Source organism: Homo sapiens, chromosome 4, assembly GCF_000001405.40.
Source record: "Homo sapiens chromosome 4, GRCh38.p14 Primary Assembly".
NCBI lineage: Eukaryota > Metazoa > Chordata > Mammalia > Primates > Hominidae > Homo > Homo sapiens.
Genome location: NC_000004.12, coordinates 106,454,539 through 106,481,684, shown reverse-complemented (window position 1 = coordinate 106,481,684; position 27,146 = coordinate 106,454,539). Strand labels below are relative to the sequence as shown.

At 37.1% G+C, this 27,146-nt stretch overlaps 1 annotated feature.

The window, feature by feature from the left end:
• Window positions 10,148-10,649: an enhancer, noted in NCBI's record as "H3K27ac hESC enhancer chr4:107392193-107392694 (GRCh37/hg19 assembly coordinates)". NCBI's record gives its function as "activates a minimal SCP1, AML or CMV promoter by ChIP-STARR-seq in naive H9 embryonic stem cells {active_cell/tissue: H9 hESC(naive)}" and the evidence as "EXISTENCE:reporter gene assay evidence [ECO:0000049][PMID:30033119]".

Below are 27,146 nucleotides of genomic sequence, written 5' to 3'. Positions count from 1 at the left end.
TGGAGCTAGGATCTCAGACCTATGGGCCTTCAGATATGGCTCAGAAGTGCAAGTGCCGGGTCTCCAGCCCTGAACCAGGATCATTTACCCTTTGGAGGGACCTAGAGGAAAATGCACACTTCCTCAAGGCAAGCAGATCTCAAAGAGGAGAGGGGAAGGTGTACTTAGGCCAAGCGAGTGTAAGGACCCTCTTAATTTCATCAATTAATTCAGTAAGTCCGACTGAGAGTGTGAGCAGAGATAAAAAGTAGAAGAACAGGTGAAACCTTCACTTTTCATCACTTATGGAAAGGTGAAACTTTCTATTTCTTGAGTTCAGGCCAAAACACTGGAAGAGGGAAAGTGCCTATGTACTACCTTACAGTGTTTAACTTTGAAACCTTGTAACAAAAATAAAAGACAAATTGTTCTTTTGTAAAAAAGCTGATTAAATAAAACAGAAAAATGTATTTTAAAAATGAATACTGAAATGAAAGAGTTAGATAATAAGAGGAAAAAATGGTTTTTAAGTTGCCTTCCCTGGCCAAGGTAGGAGTAGGAGAGAACAAACAAAAATTAAAACTTTTAAATTATTTTTTAATTCTTAAGGCTCACGTGGCCAAAAAAACTAAATATAACAATTTTTATATGCTTAAATACATGTACATTCCTTTTTCTCTGCGGTAGGTAGCATCATAAGGCAAATTTGTATGTTATTTAGCTGCATTGTTTGAGTTTCCTGAAAAGAAAAGACTGCTTGACATAAAGAAAAAGATTTTGGTCTTTTCCCAGCATACTATAAATGTGAGGCTATAAAATCTGGTTTGGTTTTATTACTGACAGTACTATAGTGTCATGCTATAATTGTGGTTAAGAAAGAACAAGTGTCTGAAAACACTTGTATAATACTTAACTACAATATTTAAGTTCTTCTCATAAGAGAAAAATATACAATATATATGTATATTATATATAACATATGTATAAAACATATATATATACACACACACAGACACACAAACACATACACACACACACACACACACACAAACAGCTGTCCTTCAGAAGCCACAAGGGATTGGTTCCAGGACTCCTGCAAATACCAAAATTCAGGGATTCTCAAGTCACTTACATCAAATTGCATAGAGCCTGGAGAGTGGCATGAACTGTAGTCCCAGCTACTTGGGAGGCAGAGGCAGGAGCATAGCTTAAGCCTAGTAGTTTGAAACCAGCTTGAGCAACATAGTGAGACCTTATCTTGAAAATACATAAATAAATAAGTAAAATAAAATGGCATAGTATTTGCATATAACCTATGCACATCCTTCCCTATACTTTAAATCATCTCTAGATTATTTATAATATCCAATACAATGTAAATGCTATGTAAATACTTGTTATTCTATATTTGTTTTTATTTATAATATTTTTATTGTTGCATTGTTATTTCTTGTTGATTTTGTTTTTTTCAAATCTTTTCAATGCACAGTTAATTGAATCTACAAATGCAGAATCCATGGATTCAGAGAACTGCTGTATATCTTTAGGGATGAAATTGCTCATGCTCATTTTTCAGTCTAAAGGTAAATTTTTTTCTTAGAAAGTATGGAAAGATTCCTTGTGATTTATCTAAATCTTTTTAAAATCATGTTTTTTATATTAAAAATATATTTGGTGTATCTTTGTTTGTTTGTTTGTTTAGGAATGAATTCAAACTATGCTTTGGAAAGACAACTTTGAATCTGACATTCATTGAAAGCTCCCTTCACAAATTAAGGAAAAATATGCCTGGAATTATAGATAGTAAAGCTAAAAAGTTTCAAAGCTATGTCTGGATTACATTAAACACTGAATTTTCCTCTAAAGCTATAGTAAAACTCAAGGAAAATAGAGTAGTCCAAATTCTGAAAGTGATGAACATGCAAGAAACCTCACATTAAGTCACTAAGAGAAAATATCAATGCATTGAGATTCATTTATTTGTTACTCAAAAAATATTTATTTTTGTTACTCAAAAAGTATTTATTTGCTGTCTACCATGTGTCAAGCACAGTTTTAGGTGTTTTTCATAGTAATGAGCAAAAAAGATTAAAATTCTAATTCTGATAGAGCTTACATTTGGGAGGGGGAAGACAGTGAAATATGTGGTATATTACTGATATTCTAAGAATAAAATTAAAAGTAGAAGTGGGAATATAAAATATTTCAAGGTAAGGGGAGATAACCATTATAATAAAATTGTTTATCAGTTTCAAAGATCACTTCAGCAGTTTCCTGGTTATAGTAGCCTTGGTCCCAGAATAACAAAGCCTTGGTCCCAGACTTTTATAGGTCTATCTCAGATTATGAGATTGTCTTTGTATGTTTTCTGTTGTTGTGACAGAATACCACAGACTGCGTAATTTAGAAAGAATATATATATTTCTTACAGTTCTCAATTCTGAAGGCTTGGAAGTTCAAGGTCAAGTTCCGCAACTGGTGAGGGCGTTCTTACTCTGTCATAACATGCTGGAGGGCATCACGTGGCAAAATGCATGAGCACGCCATCTCAGGTCTCTCTTCCCCTTCTTATAAAGCCATCAGACCCGTCATGGGGACTACCTTTCTGATCATTTCATCCCATAGGCCCTACCTCCAAATACCATCAACATATAAATTTGAGGATTAGGTTTTCAACACATGGGATTTGGGGGATACATTCAAACCACAGCAGAGATGGTGAAAGGGAGCACTTGAAGCTGACATTAGTTCATCTCTGTCAATACTCTTCCTTTAGAAGGCATACTCATTGGACTTGCCATGAAAGAAGTAGGGCACCTCTAGGTAGCAGCCTCTGGGGAATCAGACTAGCTCTCCATTTTACAAGTGACAAACAGACCTCAAAGGGTTTAAAACAGATTTACCAAGTTTAGTTAGTGGTGGACTAAGTGCTATTCAAATTGTGGTTTTCTGACAGCCCCTGGCTTATAAACTTTCTTTTACCCATTCTCAACAAGAGAAGTACAGAACGTAAGAAAAGGCATTTAGAAACTTTTGTAGTAATTTGACAGAGATGTTTTATTTGTTTCATCTAATACTTTAAAAATTGGAGCTCATTTTTTGTTTTGTCTTTACATTTAATTTTTATTATTTTGTTTTGTTGTATTTTATAAAAGATTAAGACTGAGAAAGATTAGAAAATCAGAAAAAAAACTGGACTTTTTCCACAGTTATTTTCAGAAGCATTGTGTTAAAATACGGATCCCTTAACTCAACACAACCACATATTATCTTGAGTACCTATTATGTGGCAGGTGCAGTATTATGTGCTGTGGGTTACAAAATAGGCCATGCCCCCATCGGGCTTACAACAGAGTGAGACAATAAGTGAGCAAACACTCTGGGCATGAAAGAGTTCAAAGTTTCCCATAAAAACTCACTACCAGCCAGGTGCGGTGGCTCACTCCTGAAATCCCTGCATTTTGGGAGGCTGAGGGAGGTGGATCACGAGGTTAAGAGATTGAGACCATCCTGGGCAACACGGTGAAACCCCATCTCTACTAAAATTACAAAAATTAGCTGGGTGTGGTGGCACATGCCTATAGTCTCAGCTACTCGGGAGGCTGAAGCAGGAGAATCGCTTGAACCTGGGAGGTGGAAGTTGCAGCGAGCCAAGATCAGGCCACTGCACTGCAGCCTGGAGACAGAGCAAGACTCCTTCAAAAAACAAACAAGCAAACAAAAAAACAACAACAAAAAAACTCACTACTTCCCAGGTATGGATACTAAAACAAAATCTGAGATCTTCCAGACATGCACTCCTACCAGCAGAGACTCACTTGTGGAAACAGCAGCTGGGAACCTGTTCCCCATGGTAACAATATTTCCTTCGAATAGGGACCTGAGCAGGAAAATGTGTGTAGCAGCAAAATGTGTGTAGCAGCAAAAATCTTGAGGAAGAAGATTAGGGCATTTTATTCTTATAAGGGGCCCTCAAGGCAATCTTGCTACATTGGTAGTTTCTCAGTATTGCTACATTGAGAGACATTTAATCTGCAGACTCCAAATTGTGATTCTTAAGACTGCCAAAAAAATTTTTATGAATTTTCATCAGCCTTATGACTTACTACAGTTTTAAATATTTTTAAAAAAATTTTGTCTCAATCTTGAAATTAGTATCCTTAGATGAAATTGTACAGTTGATAATTAGAATAAACAAATTTTTAAAGAAGTATACTTTAGAAAAAAAACAGTTTGGAAGTCTGTAAGTATTTTAGTCTTAAATCTGCCTTAGGTTTATGAAGAGGTTTAGCCTGGGATGATGGTATTTTTTTCTATTTTTGTATTATTATTATTTTAATTGGTAGTCTGTACACATGGAAATAATAAAAGGTTGAAATAAAAGAGATTGGGAAGAGACACATGAGACATTTTGAGATATTTTGAAATGTCCATCCAGTGGTCTCTGTTTTGTAAACGAGACTAAAGTCATCTAGCAGCAAAAATCAGTGCTAATTGGTACCATCTAGAAAAATAGCAGACCTGTTTAAAGAGGTATTTATGATGAAATTTGATAGGTAGGAGAAAAAGAAATACAACTATTAAACTGAATGGATTGTGCAGCAGATAAAGAAGAATGACCCAATATTCCTCTGGGCAGAGTAGTAAGAAAGACAGTCAAGAATAATGCTTTTGGAATAAACTCAGCTGTTGATAACACTGTGAGTAAAGGATAAAGCAAATGGAGCTGACATGTTACTAAGCAGATCTCAAAGATGCTACTGAGAACGTCTAGTCATCTGAGGAATGTTTTATCCCTTTAAAAGAAGAATATCTGATAGATTTGCAACTTGAATTGAAATCTTCATTTCTAGAAAAGTTGATGAAGCAATGAGAACAAAATCCAACCCACAGGGCCCAGTTGTTTGAAAGGAAAATCACAGCTATAAACATGTCACTTTCTAGCTCCAAAACCTTCAAAGACCAAAAGCTGCTGGCTGAATAAAGTATTAATAACAAGGATCCTGTGCAGTTTGGCTTGAGTTTCCTTTCCAGGTGTAGCTCCCACTGTTTACTTACAAAACATGTGATGGGAAGGGTAAAGAAGTACATTATTCCTCAGCCATACTATAAGCCAAGCATTATATTATGTTATTACATTTTATTCTTACAATCCTTACATCATAGAATGACTGTGAGGGTTGAATAAGAGTAAATGTTGAGTGCTTAGCCCCAGTATTTAAAGTTACAGAATTAATGTGCTTAAAACTGTGCCTAATATATGTAAGTCCTTAATAAATGTAAGCAATTATTATTATTGGTTTAGGAGAACATAGGAAAAGAGAAAATCAACATTACTCTTTTAGGATGAGGAAACTGATGATCATAAATACTAAGTTGTTTTCCCAAAGTGACAGCAATGTTAGGACTTCAGGTGATGCACAGTCCTTGTTCTTCCTACAGTATCAACCTCTCTGCTATGACACTACTCTTCAGTTAAATTGGATGCTTTACATCCACTTTACATCATAAGCTTTCCAAACTTTTTATCTTTCTTCATGCTTTTGACTTCTCCTATAATGTCCCTGTCTTTATTTCTATTTTCTGAATGTAGAGGATCAGCAAAATTAATTGTCCATTTTATACTCTCTCAAACCAATGCATTTTCCAACTCCCTGCACTTCCCCCAGCACCAGCACAGAGTAAACGTGTTAACTAACATTTATCATGGCTTGTTAATTTTTTTCTGCATTATGACCTTTTGTTCTTGCACTTCTAACTGCAGAAGACAAACTCATTTTTTAAACTTATTTTAATATTTATTTCAACGAATATTTACTGAATACTTACCATGTGCCAGACAAGGGATATATGGCATGATATAACATGTACAGGGTGAAGAAAAGAGACACATGTTGGCAAGGACTTAATAAATATTAGATTACTAACTGTCCTATAAATACAGTGTTACAGAAGAGCAAGCTGCATCCCTAACAATGCAGAGAACAAGCCTACTTAGATTTATACTACAGTAGCTCTGCTGATAACTCAATAGTGTTTCTAACACAACCCCCATACCTGTTCTAATTTGGGGCAGCAGTATCCCTTTATATTTTTTGATTCAACTTTTGTGTGTAATACTCAGGACTTATTTTTCATTATCCTTCCACACTCTTCTCCCATAGTGCTATTTCTTTAGGAGAAATACAAAGGTATCTCAGTCTTGGAGCTTTGCAAAGTAATTTTTCTACTTCTGATAAGCTGCTTGTATAAGACCTATCAAATGTGCCTTCAGAGTATCCCAAGCAGTATTGCTTCCTTGAGACCATAAGATTGAGTGGTCAACTCCTTTTGCCATTCTGCTCTCATCACAGTGATCATCCTCCCACTTCCTCAAAGTCAAGTGTCATTTGATTCATTGGAAACTTACTTTGCTATTTTATTAATGTTCTTCCCTAGTTTTCATTACCTTGTGATCTATCTCAAGACCAAGGCTTTTTGAGTCAGATAACTCAAGCCTTTTCTCTATGACTCTGTTTCAATTAGACTTGCCTCCCTCACCACAGACTACCTACTTTGCAAAGTGAAGTGCATTTTATTGTTTTCTATAAATCATTAAAGTGCTTCATTTTAAAAGGAAATAACTTGCCCATTTAATATAGTGTTGAACGTTAATTGAGCCATTTGGCTCTATTTTGTGAAATCTTTAAGCAGATTTATTAAAAACTAGACATTTATGGGGGCCGGGCATGGTGGCTCATGCCTATAATCCCAGCACTTTGGAAGGCTGAGGTGGGTGGATCATCTGAAGTCAGGAGTTCAAGACCAGCCTGGCCAACATGGTGAAACCCTGTCCTACTAAAAATACAAAAATTAGCTGGGGGTGGTGGTGGGCACTGATAATCCCAGCTACTCAGGAGGCTGAGGCAGGAGAATTGCTTGAACCTGGAGGTTGCAGTGAGCCGAGATTGGGCCACTGCACTCCAGCCTGGGTGACAGCGAGACTCCGTCTCAATAAAAAATAAAAATAAATAAATAAATAAATAAATAAACACTAGACATTTATTTATAACACCGTCCAAATAACTAGCTGGAACTTTCCTTTAAAAGTATGATCCAGGGTTTTACAGTAACCCTGCCATAATTCAATGTTGTGATAAGAGTTTCTCCCCACTGATGAGTAAACTTAGGGCCTGGGATAGGTTCCTGAAACCTATCTTCTCTGAGTCAAAGTGTGGGAATCTGCACACAGTATCAGGCTAAGATGAGAGGAAGCCTTCAATACTCTGCTTTGCAACACCTTAAAAATTATATTCTTCAGTTATTCTACCTTCCAACACTCCAAAGCATCCCTATGGCCATTAAAATGAAATATATTCTCCCTGCAATGTCTAAAGACTCTCTACATTCTGGTTCCTCACAGTGTCTCCACACCCACCTCCCCTGTTCCCACCTAACTCCAGAAATGTGGGGTTTTTTTTTCGGTTTCTTGCTTCTGCCAAGCTTACTCCCATATCAGGGTAACTGAACTTGCACTCCTTTGGTTTGAAATTTCTTCCTCTAGATCTTTATGTGGCTTCCCTCTTCTTTTCTCTTCATTCCTGGTTCCAAAGTGATGTTCTCGAGAAGCCCTTGCTAGCATTCTGTTGTTAAAGGCTTCCTGTTCCTGCTCCCCACACACAAGCCTCTTCCAATCACTCTTCACCCAATCACCTCTATTTTATAGCACATATCAGTATCTGAAATCTTATTTATTATTTATTTCTTTTGTTTTATTTATTATCTCCCTCCCTCCACCAGAATGTAGGCTCCACAAAAAAAGGCCTTTTCTCATCTGCAACTGTATTCCCAGCACTCAGAGAAGTGCCTCCCAAAGATAGGTGCTAAAGAAATATATGCGATGAGTCAATAAATACATATTTATTTTCAAGAGAGACTGAGCACTGCCTGTGGTAAGATGAAAGAAAGAAGGCAATTGACTGTAGGTGCAGCCTCCACCCTGCTGTTCTAAGTAAGTAATACCCTACTCAGCAAACCTCAGCTCTATGGTTAACCTGCCCTCCCCACAAGCCCCTACACCTTGCAAGATGGTTTGGTGCTAAGTGAGTCATGGAAGGTTTTCACTTCCCTTCACTACCTAAATGGTTTCTTAATTTTTTTTTTATTCCTAATCATTTATAGTACTATCCCTAAAGGAACTGACATGCAAAATTCTGCACACTAATATACTTCCATTAATGTTTTAGCAGCTCATAGAGACTGTCCTCTGTCCTGATGACTGAATTTCCCCCTGGTATAGAAGACCTTTAATATAGTACACAATGACTCAGTAACTCAATCCTCTACTTTTTTTTTTTTTTTTTTTTGAGACGGAGCCTTGCTCTGTTACCCAGGCTACAGCGCAGTGGCGCGATCTCCGCCCACTGCAAGCTCCACCTCCTGGGTTCATGCCATTCTCCTGCCTCAGCCTCCCGAGTAGCTGGGACTACAGGCCCCCGCCACCATGCCTGGCTAATTTTTTTTGTATTTTTAGTAGAGACGGGGTTTCATAGTGTTAGCCAGGATGGTCTCGATTTCCTGACCTCATGATCCGCCCGCCTCGGCCTCCAAAAGTGCTGGGATTACAGGCATGAGCCACTGTGCCTGGCCACTCAATCCTCTACTTATAGTTTGGAGGATGCTCATTCATTCATTCATTCATTCATCCATTCCATTTGTACTTATGGAGCAGAAGATACTATGCTTTGAACACCTTTCTGTATACTGGGGTAAGAGTCCAAAAATGTCTAAAGGGTTTAAAAAAAAAGTCTGCTCTCATGTAACTCCCATTCTAGTAGAAGTAATCGAAAAATAAGCAACATAATTTGGAGTGAATTATATAATATGTCCAATATAACTGATACTGAGAAAAATGTAATAGGATATAGGAATTGGAAATGCATCAGGGAAGGGGTTACGATTTTAATAGGATGATTACAGAAGCCCTGGCAGAGAAGGGGAAATTTAAGTAAATCCTTAAAAAAGATGAGGGAGCAAGTCATGTGACTATCTGGAGGAAAATTTCTAGACAGAAGCAAAGATGAATGTAAAGAAATAGCTGAAAGGCCAACATGGTTGGCGTAAAGTGAGCAACAATACAGAGGGCAGAGAGGTGGAGATAGGAGAGATAATGAGAGAGATGAGAGGAGACCAGATCAAAGGACTGTATGGACCATAGTTGTAAAGACTATAGTTCTTACTCTGAGGGACTTTGGAACCCTTCAGAAGGTTTTAAGCAAAGGAAGGACTTGATCAACTTTGCATTTTAATGGGATCATACTGGCTGCTGATTAGTAATAGATTACAGGAAAACAACAGCAGGAGGCAGAGAAGCCCAGAGGTTAGTGCAGTAATGCAGGAAACAGTTGAGGGACTTTGGACAAGAACGGTAACATACAGTGGCAGAAAATGTTTGGATTCAGGATAATTGATGTTTGTTCACACACCACTCAATTCTAATTAAAAGGAGAAACAATATATTACAGTGCATAAGAGCACAACCTCTAACATTAGATGGTTTGGGGTACAAGTCTTGACTTTGACACCTCCTTGATGCTTGAATTTATATAATTTATTGGTCTTCCCTATATCTCAACATATGCTTCTGTTATAAAGGAGATAAAAAAAAAAATGTTAAGTGGGAGGATTGCTGGCAAGATGGCCGAATAGGAACAGCTCCGGTCTGCAGCTCCCAGTGAGATCGACAGAGAAGGCGGGTGATTTCTGCATTTCCAACTGAGGTACCTGGTTCATCTCATTGGGACTGGTTGGATAGTGGGTGCAGCCCATGGAGGGCGAGCAGAAACAGGGTGGGGCATCACCTCACCTGGGGCATTGCCTCACCCATGAAGCGCAAAGGGTCGGGGAATTTACCCCCCTACCCAAAGGAAGCCATGAGGGTCTGAGCCTGAGGAACTCCGGCACAAATATTGTGCTTGTCCCATCGTCTTCACAACCTGCAAACCAGGAGATTACCTCTGGTGCCAACCCCACCAGGGCCCTGGGTTTCAAGCACAAAACTGGGCAGCCATTTGGGCAGACACCGAACTAGCTGCAGGAGTTCGGTTTTTTTTTTCCCTACCCCAGTAGCGCCTGGAATGCCAGCAAGACAGAACTGTTCAGTCCTCTGGAAAGGGGTGCTGAAGCTAGGGAGCCACGTGGTCTGGCTCAGTGGGTCCCACTCCCACGGAGCCCAGCAAACTAAGACCCACTGACTTGAAATTCTTGCTGCCAGCACAGCAGCAGTCTGAGATCCACCGAGATGTTCCAGCTTGGTGCGGGGAGGGACATCCGCCATTACTGAGGCTTGAGTAGGCAGTTTTACACTAACAGTGTAAACAAAGCCACTGGGCAGTTCAAACTAGGCAGAGCCCACTGCAGCTCAGCAAGGCCACTGCGGCCAGACTGCCTCTCTAGATTCCTCCTCTCTGGTCAGGGCATCTCTGGAGAAAAAAGGCAGCAGCCCCAGTCAGGGACTTATACACAAACCCCCATCTCCCTGGGACAGAGCACCTGGGGGAAGGGGCGACTGTGGATGAAGCTTTAGCAGACTGAAACGTTCCTGCCTGACACCTCTGAAGAGAGCAGTGGACCTCCCAGCACAGCGTTTGAGCTCTGCTAAGGGTCAGACTGCCTCCTCAAGTGGGTCCCTGACCCCCGTGTATCCTGACTGGGAGACACCTCCCCGTAGCGGCCAACAGACACCTCATACAAGAGAGCTCTGGCTGGCATCTGGCAGATGCCCCTCTGGGATGAAGCTTCCAAAGGAAAGATCAGGCAACCATCTTTGCTGTTCTGCAGCCTCTGCTGGTGATAACCAGGCAAACAGGATCGGGAGTGGACCTCCAGCAAACTCCAACAGACTGGCAGCACAGGGGCCTGACTGTCAGAAGGAAAACTAACAAACAGAAAGGAATACCATATCCACTCAAAGACCCCATCTGAAGGTCACCAACATCAAAGACCAAAGGTAGATAAATCCACAAAGGTGGGGAGAAACCAGCACAAAAAGGCTGAAAATTCCAAAACCCAGAATGTCTCTTCTCCTCCAAAAAAATCACAACTCCTTGCTAGCAAGGGAACAAAACTAGATGGAGAATGAGTTTGACAAATTGACAGGAGTAGGCTTCAGAAGGTAGGTAATAACAAACTTCTCCGAGCTAAAGGAGCATGTTCTAACCCAGTGCAAGGAAGCTAAGAACCTTGAAAAAAGGTTACAGACGAATTGCTAACTAGAATAACCAGTGTAGAGAAGAACAAAAGTGACCTGATGGAGCTGAAAAACACAGCACGAGAACTTCGTGAAGTATACACAAGTTTCAATAGCTGAATCGATCAAGCAGAAGAAAGGATATCAGTGATTGAAGATCAACTTAATGAAATAAAGAGAGAAGACAAGATTAGAGAAACAAGAATAAAAAGGAATGAACAAAGCCCCCAGAAATATGGGACCATGTGAAAAGACCAAATCTACATTTGATTGGTGTACCTGAAAGCGATGAGGAGAATGAAACCAATTTGGAAAACACTTTTCAGGATATTATCCAGGAGAACTTCCCCAACCCAGCAAGACAGGCCAACATTCAAATTCAGGAAATACAGAGAATACCACAAAGATACCCCTCGAGAAGAGCAACCCCAACACACATAATCGTCAGATTCACCAAGGTTAAAATGAAGGAAAAAATGTTAAGGGCAGCCAGAGAGAAAGGTCGGTTTACCCACAAAGGGAAGCCCATCAGACTAACAGCAGATCTATCAGCAGAAACCCTACAAGCCAGAAGAGACTGGGGGACAGTATTCAACGTTCTTAAAGGAAAGAATTTTCAACCCAGAATCTCATATCCAGCCACACTAAGCTTCATAAGTGAAGGAGAAATAAAATCCTTTACAGACAAGCAAATACTGAGAGATTTTGTCAGCACCAGGCCTGCCTTACAAGAGTTCCTGAAGGAAGCACTAAACATGGATAGGAACTGGTACCTGCCACTACAAAAACATACAAAATTGTAAAGAATATTGACACTATGAAGAAACTGAATCAACTAATGGGCAAAACAACCAGCTAGCATCATAATGACAGAATCAAATTCACACATAACAATATTAACCTTAAATGTAAATGGGCTAAATGCCCCAGTTGAAAGACACAGACTGGCAAATTGGACGAAGAGTTAAGACCCATCGGTGTGCTGTATTCAGGAGACCCATCTCACGTGGAAAGACACATATAGGCTCAAAATAAAGGGATGGAGGAATATTTACCAGGCAAATGGAAAGCAAAAAAATAAAATAAAATAACATAAAAAAATAAAAGCAGGAGTTGCAATCCTAATCTCTGCTAAAACAGACTTTAAACCAACAAAGATCAGAAAAGACAAAGAAGGGCATTACATAATAGTAAAGGGATCAATGCAGCAAAAAGAGCTAACTATATCAAATATATATGCACCCAATACAGGAGCACCCAGATTCATAAAGCAAGTCCTTAGAGACCTACAAAGAAACTTAGATGCCCACACAATAATAGTGGGAGACTTCAACACATCACTGTCAATATTAGACAGATCAACGAGACAGAAAATTAACAAAAATATTCAGGACTTGAACTCAGCTCTGGACCAAGAGGAACTAATAGACATCTACAGAAGTCTCCACCCCAAATGAACAGAATATACATTCTTCTTAGCACCTCATTGCACTTATTCTAAAATTGACCATATAATTGGAAGTAAAACACTCCTCAGCAAGTGCAAAAGAACAGAAATCATAACAGTCTCTCAGACCACAGTGCAATCAAATTAGATCTCAGGATTAAGGAACTCACTCAAAACTGCACAACTACATGGAAACTGAACAACCTACTCCTGAATGACTACTGGGTAAATAACGAAATAAAGACAGAAATAAAGATATTCTTTGAAACCAATGAGAACGAAGACACAAAGTACCAGAATCTCTGGGACACATTTAAAGCAGTGTGTAGAGGGAAATTTATAGCACTAAATGCCCACAAGAGAAAGCAGGAAAGATCTAAAATTGACATCCTAATATTAAAATTAAAGAAAAATAGAGAAGTAACAGCAAACAAATTCAAAATCTAGCAGAAGACAAGAAATAACTAAGATCAGAGCAGAACTGAAGGAAATGGAGACACAAGAACCCTTCAAAATTTAATGAATCCAGGAGTTGGTTTTTTGAAAAGATCAACAAAATAGACCACTAGACAGACAAATAAAGAAGGAAAGAGAGAAGAATCGAATAGTTGTAATAAAGATGATATAGGGGATATCACCACCGATCCCACAGAAATACAAACTACCATCAGAGAATACTATAAACACCTCTATGCAAATAAAGTAGAAAATCTAGACGAAATGGATAAATTCCTGGACACATACACCCTACCAATTCTAAACCAGGAAGAAGTCTAATCCCTGAATAAACCAATAATAAGTTCTGATATTGAGGCAGTAATTAATAGCCTACCAACCAAAAAAAAGTCCAGGACCAGATGGATTCACAGCCAAATCCTACCAGAGGTACAAAGAGGAGCTGGTATCATTCCTTCTGAAATTATTCCAAACAATAGAAAAAAAGGGAATCCTCCCTAATTCATTTTATGAGGCCAGCATCATCCTGATTCCAAAACCTGGCAGAGACACAACAACAACAAAAAATTTCAGGCCAATATCCCTGATGAATATTGATGAGAATATCCTCAATAAAATACTGGCAAACTGAATCCAACAGCACATCAAAAAGCTTATCCACCACAATCAAGTCAGCTTCATCCCTGGGATACAAGGTTGGTTCAACATATGCAAATCAATAAGCGTGATCAATCACATAAACAAAACCAATGACAAAAACCACATGATTATCTTAATAGATGCAGAAAAGGCCTTCAACAAAATTCAACACCCATTCATGCTAAAAATTCTCCATAAACTAGGTATCGACGGAATGTGTCTCAACATAAGAGCTATTTATAACAAACTCACAGCCAATATCACATTGAATGGGCAAAAACTGGAAGCATTCCCTTTGAAAACCTGCACAAGAAAAGGATGCCCTCTCTCACCACTCCTATTCAACATCGTATTGGAATTTCTGGCCAGGGCAATCAGGCAAGAGAAAGAAATAAAGGATATTCAATTAGGAAAAGAGGAAGTCAAATTGTCTCTGTTTGCAGATGACATTATTATATATTTAGAAAGCCCCTTCGCCTCAGCCTAAAATCTCCTTAAGCTTATAAGCAACTTCAGCAAAGTCTCAGGATACAAAATCAATGTGCAAAAATACAAGCATTCCTATACACCAACAACAGACAAACAGAGAGCCAAATCATGAGTGAACTCCCATTCACAATTGCTACAAAGAATAAAATACCTATGAATCCAACTTACAAGGGATATGAAGGACCTCTTCAAGGAGAACTATAAACCACTGCTCAAGGAAATAAGAGAGGACACAAACAAATGGAAAAACATTCCATGCTCATGGATAGGAAGAATCCATATCATGAAAATGGCCATACTGCCCAAAGTAATTTATAGATTCAATGCTATCCCCATCAAGCTACCAATGACTTTCTTCACAGAATTGGAAAAAACTACTTTAAATTTCTTATGGAACCAAAAAAGAGCCTGCATAGCCAAGAAAATTCTGGTCAAGAAGAACAAAGCTGGAGGCATCACACTACCTGACTTCAAACTATATGGAAAGTCTACAGTAACCAAAACAGCATGGTACTGGTACCAAAACAGATATATAGACCAATGGAACAGAACAGAGGCCTCAGAAATAACACCACACACCTACAACCATTTGATCTTTGACAAATCTGACATGCACAAGCAATGGGGAAAAGATTCCCTATTTAATAAATGGTATTGGGATAACTGGCTAGCCATACACAGAAAACTGAAACTGGACCCCTTCCTTACACCTTACACAAAAATCAACTCAAGATGGAACAAAGACTTAAATGTAAGACCTAGGACCTTAAAAATCCTAGAAGAAAACCTGGGCAATACCATTCACGACATAGGCATGGGCAAAGACTTCATGTCTAAAACACCAAAAGCAATGGCAACAAAACCCAAAATTGACAAATGGGATCTAACTAAACTAAAGAGCTTCTGCACAGCAAAAGAAACTATCATCAGAGTGAACAGGCAACCTACAGAATGGGAGAAAATTTTTGCAATCTATCCATCTGACAAAGGGCTAATATCCAGAATCTACAAAGAACTTAAACAAATTTACAAGAAAAAAAAAACCCCATCAAAAAGTGGGCGAAGGATATCAACAGACACGTCTCAAAAGAAGATATTTATGCAGCTAACAGACATATGTAGAAATGCTCATCATCACTAGTCATTAGAGAAATGCAAATTAAAACCATAATGAGATACCACCTCATGCTAGTTAGAATGGTGATCTTTAAAAAGGAAACAACAGATGCTGGAGAGGATGTGGAGAAATAGTGACACTTATACAACGTTGGTGGGAGTGTAAATTAGTTCAACCATTGTGGAAGACAGTGTGGCAATTCCTCAAGGATCTAGAACTAGAAATACCATTTGACCCAGCAATCCCATTACTGGGTATATACCCAAAGGATTATAAATCATTCTACTATAAAGACACATGCACACATATGTTTATTGCAGCACTGTTCACAATAGCAAAGACTTGGAACCAACCCAAATGCCCATTAATAATAGACTGGATGAAGTCAATGTGGCACATATACATCATGGGATACTATGCAGCCATAAAAAGATGAGTTCATGTCCTCTGCAGGGACATGGATGAAGCTGGAAACCATGATTCTCAGCAAACTATCGCAAGAACAGAAAACCAAACACTGCATGATCTCACTCATAAGTGGGAGTTGAACAATGAGGACACATGGACATAGGGAGGGGAACATCACACACTGGGGCCTGTCAGGGGGTGGGGGGCTAAGGGAGGGATAGCATTAGGAGAAATATCTAATATAGGTGACAGGTTGATGGGTGCAGCAAACCACCATGGCACGTGTATATCTATGTAACAAAACTGCACGTTCTGCACATCTAGCCAGAACTTAAAGTATAATAAAAGAAGAATGTTTTTTTAAAAAAGGAGATAAAGAATATGTTAGTTAAAGTCATGCTTCAAAATGACTCCAACATGAGAGAAATTCATTTCTAATTCATGTGAAGTCTGTTGAAGGTATTTCTGATAACTGGGGCCTCTCCCGTAAGAAGTGACCCAGAAATCCAAGCTCCTTCAACTTATGGTTCTGCCATTTTTCAACACTTAGTTCTGAGGTCTCCCTGGGCATGGATTTCCAACTTGCAGACTGGAACAATAAATAGGAGGCTCGTGTGTGAAAAGCTTTTAATGGACTGTGCATGGAAGCAGCACAATCATTTCTGACTCCATTTCTCTGACCAGTGAACTCAGTACTCTGTCTCACGGTCACCCCAACTGCAAGAGAGATTGGGACACTATGTCTCTCTCTGTGCCTGAGAAAAGAGGAGATGAGTTTGGTAAGCAGCTGATTAGTCTTTGCCACTATCAGTCTTCATCAGAGGACTATTGGATATATTCGCCAAGGTACCATTTGTCAAGCATTGTACTGCAAGGCCTGCTGGAGCCAAGTGGTTGCTACTAATTTAGGAATGAACAAGGGAAAGGGAAACCACACCCACAATTCCTTTGTCTACTGTCCAATTCAGAGTGACTTCTGCCTTTTTGATTGGAAGAAAGTTAATCGTATACACCATAAAATTTATCCATTTTAAGTGTACAATTCAATTATTTTTAAAATTATAGAATTTTACAACCACCACCATATCCAATTTTAGAAGCTTTTCCATGCTTCTAAAGTTTCTTCATGCCCATTTGCAGTCAATTTCTATCTCCCTACAATCAGCCCCAGGCAAACTTTTTGCCTCCGTAGATTTGTCTTTTTGAATTTTTTATGTTAATGTAAACATAAGATAAAATGTGAGCTTTTGTGACTGTCTTCTTTCACTTAGCATAATTTTTTAGAGTTTTTCCCATGTTGTTGTATTTATCAGTAGTTCCTTCCTTTTGGTTGTTGAATAGTATTCTATTCTATGAAACTACCACTTTTTTATTCATGTGTCCATTGATGAGCATTTGGACTGTTTCCAGTACTTTGCAAGTATGAATCATTTTTTGCAGGACTACTCATCTTTGCAATGGTAGTAAGATGCTATTCTTTAGAAGGCTTTGTCCATAAGTCCAAAGGTAGCAGTAGTATTTAGAGTAACAGTGAAGTATAATGGAAGAATATTCCTATTTGACTCTCAAATGACTTAGACTTGTGCCTTACTTCTCTTTTCTGAGCTGCCTACCCTTAGAGAATAACCTCACAATTGCTGATAGTAAGAGTCTAACATGGTATTTGACACAGTTGGTGCTCCACAAATGTGAATTCCCATTACATTGCCCACACTCCATTGTCTCACATCCTTCTCTGTAATAAACTTGGAACCTCTTAGCACCCCACAAGACTAGCTACAATTTCCCATATTCAGGTGGGTTCTTTTACCAACATTGTAAGTAAAATAAGGGTGCTTTCAGTATGTAGTTTGGGAGAAGCCACCTCTCTGTTTCTTTTCCTACTGGTCTATAAAATAGAGCTTCTGCTGTCTCAGAAGTGTTGGTTAAAAGCATCTGTTTCCTTTAAGATCTCATTTGTTCCTCTCCACAGGAAGAGCAATGATTTGTCTGTTTGACATGTTGAAGAGTCTGATATTCATTGATCCATATTTCTGCAGTGGTCAGGGTTACCACAGTAAGTCACTGCACACAGGTGGCCTCTTCCCTTATGCACCTTTAATCTTGGGCTTTCAGTTTCGACATGGTGAGGCATTGCTGGTTGATAAGGGACTGCTTTGGAGGCCTTGCTCCTCAAGTGAATTCAGATATAACTATAGAAAAAAAGGTTAGGAAGTCCAAAGAGACCACATTCAAGCTACATTTGTCAAGCTAGGTTTCCTTTCAATAACGTTGACATTTCAATTTTCTGACTCCTGTGCCTAGTTCTCAATCAGCTTCCATTCTGAGGAGCAGAGGATGGGATTAATTTCCTCAAGCCCAACACATGGAGGCTGCTTGTCTCTTTTGGAAAGACAGAGTTGGCAATATATTTAGGCAGACCAACTTTTGGAGCCTATTTTTCCTTTCACATGTGGAAGATTGTCTTTAGGACTAACCATCCAGTAATGTAATATTATTGTCCTATCACTTAACACAAGTTTATCCAATCCCTCTTGGGTTTCCCAAAAGAATTTGTTAGCTTTCTTTCTCTGAAGTAACAAATTACAGTTTGAGCCTGCCTCATATACCACATCAATCACTTGTTCAGTCCCTGGGATTGCTAAATGGTTGACCCAATTGGGCAGTTTTAGCTGTTCAGTCATTTAGTGTGGGGTGTTAAAACAACTGAAGTGGTCTGACTACTTAGACTTAAAATGCCTGACTTAAACCATAATGAAGATGAAAACATCCAATTTAACTGAAAAACAAACAAAGTTATGGAATCTTTTAGATGTGTCCACATGTGTGATCAAACACAAACTGTCTTTCAGGTTCTCATTTTCTCTTCTCCTCTCTCTCATCTCTCTTTCTCTCTTTCTTTTTGTCTTCCCTCATCTATTTCTTCTCTCTCTCTCTCTCTCTCACCCCCACTCCTCCACTCCTTCTCTCACTCTCTCTCTCCCATTCACTCTCTCCTCCATGTTTCTCTACCTCACTCTTGTTTTTTTCTTTGGGTATTTACCTCCCTCCTTGTTTCTGGCTCCCTCTTAGAGTTAGCAAATATTCATAGTAGTGAGGTATAAATTTTTACCAACAGTGCTTCTTTCTCATTTCACCCAAGATCATAATCTAAGAAAGACTAAAATGAAATCGTTATACTTGTTTCCTTGAGGGTTTAGATGAGTCAGTGAATGAGTTCCTATTTCATAAGAAGAAAGAATTTGATATTGGCTGAAGGAGTTGAGATGAAAGAAACATCTCAGAGAATACAGCAGGTCCCATTATATTACTAACACAGGACAGGGCTCCATGTGGCCCTTAACACCATCTAAATCTTTAGAATAACAACTTGGAGGTTTCCCTGTTTATTGACAACCAAATTTTATTCTCCTGGCAGTCATCCTTATCCTTCACCTCTCTTCACCTCTGAGTGCTTTTGGCATGGAGTTTGGACTGAGTACCTCAGAGACTAGTAAATCACTAACTCCATGAAAATCCGAGCCCCAAGAATGATCACTGAAATAAGATAAAAGCTGAACAATTAAGAAGTAGCAGGAGACACATTAAACTTTTAACAGAGGAAGGTCATCACCTTCTGGGCTATAAGTTAGCCTCTGATATCATGAGGTTGTCCTTTAAGGCTGGAAAATTAAAGTTGCAAGTGCCCTTCTATCACCCCCTAAATCTGCTCATATAAAATGTCACATCAGCACAGAAGACACCCGTGAGCTGTCCTAAGAGGGGTTGATGCCTTGTTAATGACACAGCAACAAGTGTTAGGTAAATCCCATAAGCAGCTCTCCAAAGTTGAGATTGTTGGCCATGATTCAAGTAGACAAAATCTTCATTATGAAGACAATTCTCAAGAACTCAACTTTTGAGATTTACGCTCATCAAAGCATGTTACTCTTAGTTCTGCTGAAAATAATCATATTCACGACATAACAGAGCCCTATCCAAAAGAGAATGAGGGTACATAAAGTTCCTTTTAATGTACTTAGAGGAAAAGACACAAAAAGTCTTAATTAAAACACTGTGATATTTGGAAAACACTTTCTATTACACAACGGATTGCTCAGTACATCAAATGTTTTTTGTGAAACATGGAACAATTCAATAATAAGACCATTAATGCATTGCAAATTGATTTTGTTTCAGTTCCTTTTGATTTATGTTAAAATAAACTATTGTCCCACTGTCACAACTCACTGTAAGACACCATGTGGTTTGAATATTCTATTCTCGATTTTACTTTGACCTGAAAAACTAAATAGAGCATGAAAGATGGGAAAATTCTGTAGTAATTTATTAGATTTGGACATTTCATTTTAATGCTTATTGATATCAACCTATCAAATATAGAAATCTATGTACAATATTGAGAGAATATCATAGCATAAAAAATTGAACATCCTAAATTATACTGTAAGTGCTCAAGAATAGTACTTGACCCCAAAATTTATTCACAATCTGTAAGGATTTGATATCTATGAATATTAAATTAATTTTGGTCCACATTTTCATTCTTTATAGCTTTATTAGAAAACAATTTTACTTATTATAATGAGGTCATATAATTATCATCACAGATTAACCCTGATACAAAATGGTCTTTTTGTTTAACACTTAAATATGAAAAATTATATGGTGATGATATGCTAAGTAAAGAACTACCCTGGGACCAGCACTTCTCATTCTTTGTGTTGGACTGGCCACTTTATGTAATTTTCTTCCTTAAAAGTATATCAGGGGAAGAAGACACATTGGCTGCCTAGAATATAGTGTAAAATTGTGCTTATAGTTGGCAGGCCTATCTAGTAGAGCACTCACTCTACAGTTCATTCACTTACAGATATAGGCTGACGGCTTGTTCTGTATATATATATCTTCATTGGTGGTTCTGAACATGGAAAATTACAGAGAATAACATAATAAATACCCATATACCCAACATATACAATTAACAAATATTAACAGTTGAATATGTTTACTTCAGCTCTTTTGATGTAGGTCTTTTTGTTTATTGTTTGTTTCTTATTGGAAAACAACACATTAGTGATAAAGTTTAAGAGTTTGGCCCAATTTACTCTCTCTGTCAAAGCTGGCTTTGTCTTTCCACCCTTTCGCCATGGGATGACCCTCACCAGATACTGGTACTATGCTCTTAGACATCCCAGCTCCCAGAACCATGAGCCAAATAGATCTCTTTTCTTTATAAATTACCCAGTTTGTGGTATTCTGTTATAGCAGCAGAAATGGACTAAGATAGTATCCTTACTTTGTCACATTTCACTACTTTCATATCCACAGAAAATCTGTCTTATTTCTGGTATAAATCCTTCCTATACATATTTGTATTCCTTCTCTCCATAGAGATAGAGATAACCAGGTCCAATATATAGGGATATTTCATCATAGTGTATAGGTGCTTCTTACTTTTTACTCATTAGACTTTTTATCTATCAACGTCACTACATATAGCTATAGCTCCTTTATTTTAATTATAATCATCTATTTCATTATAAAATATGCCATAATTTATTTGACCATTCTTCTGTTGATATGTATTTAGATTGTTTCCAGTCTTCACTGTTAAAATCAATGTTCCTTAAAATGTCCTCTTGTATACATGTGCCAACAGTTTCTCTGGAATATATATTAAGAAAAGTAATTGCTAAATTATCAGATGAGTACATTTTTAATAATATTGTTGTCAAATTGCTTTCCAAAATTTACAGTCATCTCAGCACTGGATGAGAGTTCCTGTATTTTGAAGTATTCACTTTATAATTTTTGATTTTAAACATTTAAAATTTTCAGATTTTAAAATTGTTGCTAATCATTGGGTATAAAATTGTATTTCATTATTATTTTAACATGCATTTTATTCATTACTAAACTTTCCAAAATTGACTAGCTATTTGACTTCCCTTTTTTCTGAACTGCATCTTTATATCTTTTGCCAATTGTTATGGGGCCGAGAAGTTTATGTGACAAACAGGCTGAGACTATAAACCAAAATGGCAGCAATAAATTGCTATAATTTAAATATGCTCAGATGTTTCTGTTAAATTTTAATATGCATATTCTTAGACTGAATGTAATCAAATGCCTCTTGTAACTCTGTTTATTGTTTGTTTGTATTACCTGTGCTCAACACTCCCAGAGGAGATATAAAGATTGTTGTTCTGTCCCCAAAAATGGTACTCCAATTCTCGTTTTTCCTTCAAGGTCAACAGTTGACTTTTCTGACTCTTCCAGAAAAAAAATATCTGTGAGCTCCTGAGTTGGTGTTGAAAAAGGCTACATGAGATATGTACTGTCGTTATCTTTTTTTTTTCTTTTTTTTTGAGATAGAGTTTCACTCTTGTTGCCCAGGCTGGAGGGCAGTGGTGTGATCTCGGCTCACTGCAACCTCTGCCTCTCGGGTTCAAGCGATTCTCCTGCCTCAGCCTCCTGAGTAGCTGGGATTACAGTCACCTGCCACCACTCCGGGCTAATTTTTTGTAGTTTTTTTTAGTAGAGATGGGGTTTCATCATGTTAGTCAGGCTGGTCTTGAACTCCCAACCTCAGGTGATCCACCTGCCTCGGCCTCCCAAAGTGCTGGGATTACAGGCGTGAGCCACCACATCCAGCCTGTCTTTTTCATAATAATAGTTTCTGTACCCATATTCTTAAAGCAAGATAAACCACTTATTTGTTTAGTGTAATATGTGAGCTTGATCATTTACATTTAATCCAACAAAGTAAGCAAGTACCCATACACAATACCCATTTTTAATTACATTATCTTTTCTTTATTGACTTGTAGGATTTCTATATAGCTATTCTAGACATTAATCCATTGTTCTCTATGTGATAAACATCATTTCTCATTCTTGTTTATTGTATCTTTTGTTGTATATATAAGTATTACTTACAGCTGTGTATCAATTTACTTTATGTTATATTCTGTTTTTATGTTACTTGTGTAAGATATCATCTCTACTCCAATGTAATGAGAATATTCTTCATATTCTTCAAAAAGTCATAAGGTCTTTAATCAAATAGAACTAGATGCATGTATCTATTATTTTCACATTTGGATCTGCAGTTATTTCAACACCATTTATTATTCTTCAGCATGTTGTAGTGACACTTCTCTCATAAATTGAAATCCCATATAGTTAAAGTCTCTGTGTTTTCTGGTTTTTGGCTTTGAGGTTTTGCCTGTTTGTTAGTTTTTGCTTTCTCATTCATCCTTCTCATGTACTTGCCCTTTCCTGAGCTAATACCATAGTAGTTTACATTGTATAAGTATATTAATAAGACTTAGTAACTGGTATGGCAAGTGTGCCTTCTTCCTCCTTCTTCTTCCTCTTCAAAATTAACCCAGATCTTTTTGGACTTAATTTCTCCGAATTTCTAAGTCATTTTCTCAAATTCCATGAAAAACATGACATTTTTATTGGAATCACATTAAATTTATAGAAACATTTGGGTGAGTTGAAATCCTCATGATGTTGAATCTTCCCACATCTGACCTAGCGCACATCTCCATTTAATCAAGTCTCCTTTCATATGCTTCAAAACTATCTTATACATTTAACCATGTAGAACTTGAATACCTGTTTTCGATTTATTTCTAGGTGTCTTATATGTTTTGTTATATTGCAAATGCTTTTTTCAAAATTTCTATAACATTTTTCAAGTATTTATTACTTTCACATAGAAATATTATGGAGTTTATATATAAATTGTATCTTGACTGAACCACTAGACTTTCTTATTATTTTGAATAATTTGTCTGGAGATTCGTTTGTACATTTTTCACGGAAAATCATATCATGTGAAAATTACAATTTTGTCTTTTTCTGTTTAATCTATACATTTCTTATGTCCTTTCCTTCTCTTATTATAATTATTAAAACCACCAACACAACATGAATAGTATCAGTGACGACACTGATTTTGAGGAAGACAGATCATATTTCTTTTCATTTCTAGTTCACTAATAGTTTGTTAATTGTTTTTATCATAAAAGGACAGTGAATATCATTGCATTAATCAAGATGACTTTTTCTTGCAATAATAGAGACGATTATTTTTATCATCATTTGTCTATTAATGTGATTAATACTTAAATATATTTTCTATTGTGGAACAATTGATCTATACAAAAATAAACACCATTTGGTAACGTTGCTGGTGAATTCAATTTGCCTAAAATTCTCTAGCAAGACTGACCCAGAGAAAGAGATTGAGTATTTTAATTTTGCACCTGCATTTATAAATGAAATTAGCCTTTGTTTTCTTACTATGCTTTCCTTATAAGTTTGGATATCAAGGTTATAAAGTTACACTACCTTCAAAAAAAAATGGATTAAGTAGCTTTACTTCTTTTATCATCTGGGAACATAGCATAAAGTCAGAATTATCTGTAAGTTAAAGGGGCTTGCAAAACTTCCTGGTAGAACTCTTTGGGCTTGGAGTATTTGTAGAGAGAAGGTAAGTGGGTGAGAATTGTAATTACCAATTAAATGTTTTAATAGTTATTGATCTATTCAGATTCACTATTTTTTTCTTACATCGATTTTGGTAAATTTTATTTTAAATAATCCAATATGTCTAAACACAGTCATAAAATTGATCATCATGTTCTCTTTGGACTTGTAGGGTAAAAGAGATGATATCTATTATTTGACCCCATGTTCCTCATAATATTTTCTTTTACATTCTTTGTCTTTCACTTGACCAGTTTTCCAGATGTTTTTCTAATTTATTAGTGCTTTCTTTTCTTTGAACTAGTTGTTAGTCTTGTTAATCATCATAACTGCTTCCTATTTCTTTAATTTCTTCTCTTCTCTTTTATTCTTCATCCTGCTTTTGTCAGATTCGCTGTTTTTTTCTTTGTTTGGTTCTGTAGAAAAAAATTTGGCTTATTACTTTCAAGCTTCTAATTTTATTTTATTTTATATACATAAATTCACTTGAGCACTGCTAAACTATACTGCTTTATGAACTTCCCTAAGAAATGCTTCAAGTACTTTATAAATTTCAATTTGTCATACTTTTTTTGTGATCTCTTGAGTTCTTCTGTAACCAATTATTTAGAAGTTTCTTTTTACTTTCTAAACATATTGGAGTTTTAACTATTGTTTTCTTGTTAGTTTCAATTTTATTACATTATGCTAAGCAATTGAGAATTTTATTTTATTAATTATTTGGGATTCATCTAGAATTTATTTTAGTCTACTACAAGACTATTTTTTGTTGTGTTGTTTTTTGTTTTTTGTTTTTCTTTGTTTGGTTGCTTGGTTTTGTTTTTAGATGGTCCCGCTTTGTTGCCCAGGCTGTAGTGCAGTGGCACGATCTAGGCTCACTGCAGACTCAGTCTCCCAGGCCCAAGTGATCCTCTCACCTCAGCCTTCCAGGTAGCTGAGACTACAAATGCAAGCCACCACATCTGGCTAATTGTGTGTTTTTTGTAAAGAGAAGGTCTCACTAGGTTGACCAGGCTGGTCTTGAATCCTGGACTCAAATATTCTTCCCACTTCAGACTCCCAAAATGCTGGGACCACAAGGTGAGCCACTGCATCCGGCCAACATTAACTTTTGTAGATGTGACATGTGTGCTTGAAGAGCGTGAATTTACTATTTGTTATCTGATTATGTGTGCGTATAGTCCGTGTGTGTGTATGTGTGTGTTTGTGTGTATGTATGTATAAGTATATACATATATATATATATATATATATATCTTGAGTATATATAAATATATACATATGTCATGTGTATGTATCATCAACCTTGTTAATTGGGCTGTTACATAATATTTAAAACTATTCCGTTTTATGATACACTATTTTAAAAATGAATTGTTATAACTTAAAACTCATTAAATACCAAAATTGTTTATTTGCAAGAAAAATATATTAAACCAACACTTTATAAAAGCATGTCATTAAGTATTGGGGTAACACAGGAAATATCACACAAGTCCCTGCCATCATCAAGCTTATAATATAGTTGTCTCCTCAGTTAGAAGTCCATAATTAAATTTCATTGAGCTATGCCAAATTTTTTTCTTAGCACTGTTTTAATTCATTTTACCCTCATGAGGTAAATACTATTTTATAGGGGAGAAAACTGAGCTGAAGAAGTTGGTTGCTCAAGCACCCCGCTGAAAAGTGGCAGCTCTCTAAACTCAAAATGTGGAATATTAGTCTTTTGATCTCAACTACAGAATCTTAACCAAAATTATGAGACAATGGGACATCTCACTGTCCCATAACACCACCCTAGTACAGAATTTTAATTTATAATGATCTATCATACAGTGGTCCTCCCTGTAAGTCATTACAACCAAAGAAAGACTTTCCTTTTCCCTAAATTTGCACCATCTCCATATACTTTTCATATAAATTAAAAACAGTCACAATTTGATTAACTTTTGAGACTTTAAAAAGTTTGATACACTAGTTGATTTAAATTCATTTTAAATAATCTCTTTATTTAAAAAAGCACAAGAAGTCACACCTTTAAATAAAGAGTATGTATGATCTTCTATGATTATATTTAGGAAGCCCACGTCCTAGGAGGCTGTAAAAGTCTCACAGTTCAAAGTCATATGGAAAGTCAGAGGTGGAGTTTCCAGTTAATCTCTTTGTTCCAGTTAATCTCTTAATCTCCACAGGTTTTCCAGTTAATCTCTTTGTTTAATCTTCCATAAAATGCAGATGGAGATCTGACACCTCAGCAATATTGAAGATTAGCTTAAATAATGTTTATTAAGTAATATAGGAGTATTATTTCTTCAAAAAAAGATTAATATAACAAGGTTTTTTTTCATGGACATTATTTGATTCCATCTTTAGGAACACAGAGCTTCCATCTGGGAATATGTACAAATCCAGCAAAATAGAGTCCTAAATAAAGTCATTTAAAATTTGATCTCCTTAAATGTTATAATCTTCGTAATTTAAATTTGGTTTCTGTTTTCACACATTTTCTTGGGTTTGGCTATTAGAACAGTGGCTTTCAGAGTGTGGTATGGGGAGCCCTAGACATGTAATGCTGGTACCCTTGGGGCTACCTAAGTACACAGGTCAATAGACAACCCAGCTGCTGCAATCCCGGGCCTCCACCTCTTTCTCTCTTCATCCAGAGCAGCTCTGCTTTCATCTGTGAGAGACACTGGGCTAAGGAGTAATTGCATGGTAGAAATGGTTCTAAATCCACTGTTTTAGACCATCTAATCAGCTTAAATGTCTGCTTATCTAAGTGTACACCTTTTATCATAAGCCTAAATTGAACAGCTCAGTTTTAAAGCAATAAACTACAGTCTAGTGTCAAATGTAAAAGGCTTGCTTCTCTGAAAGAA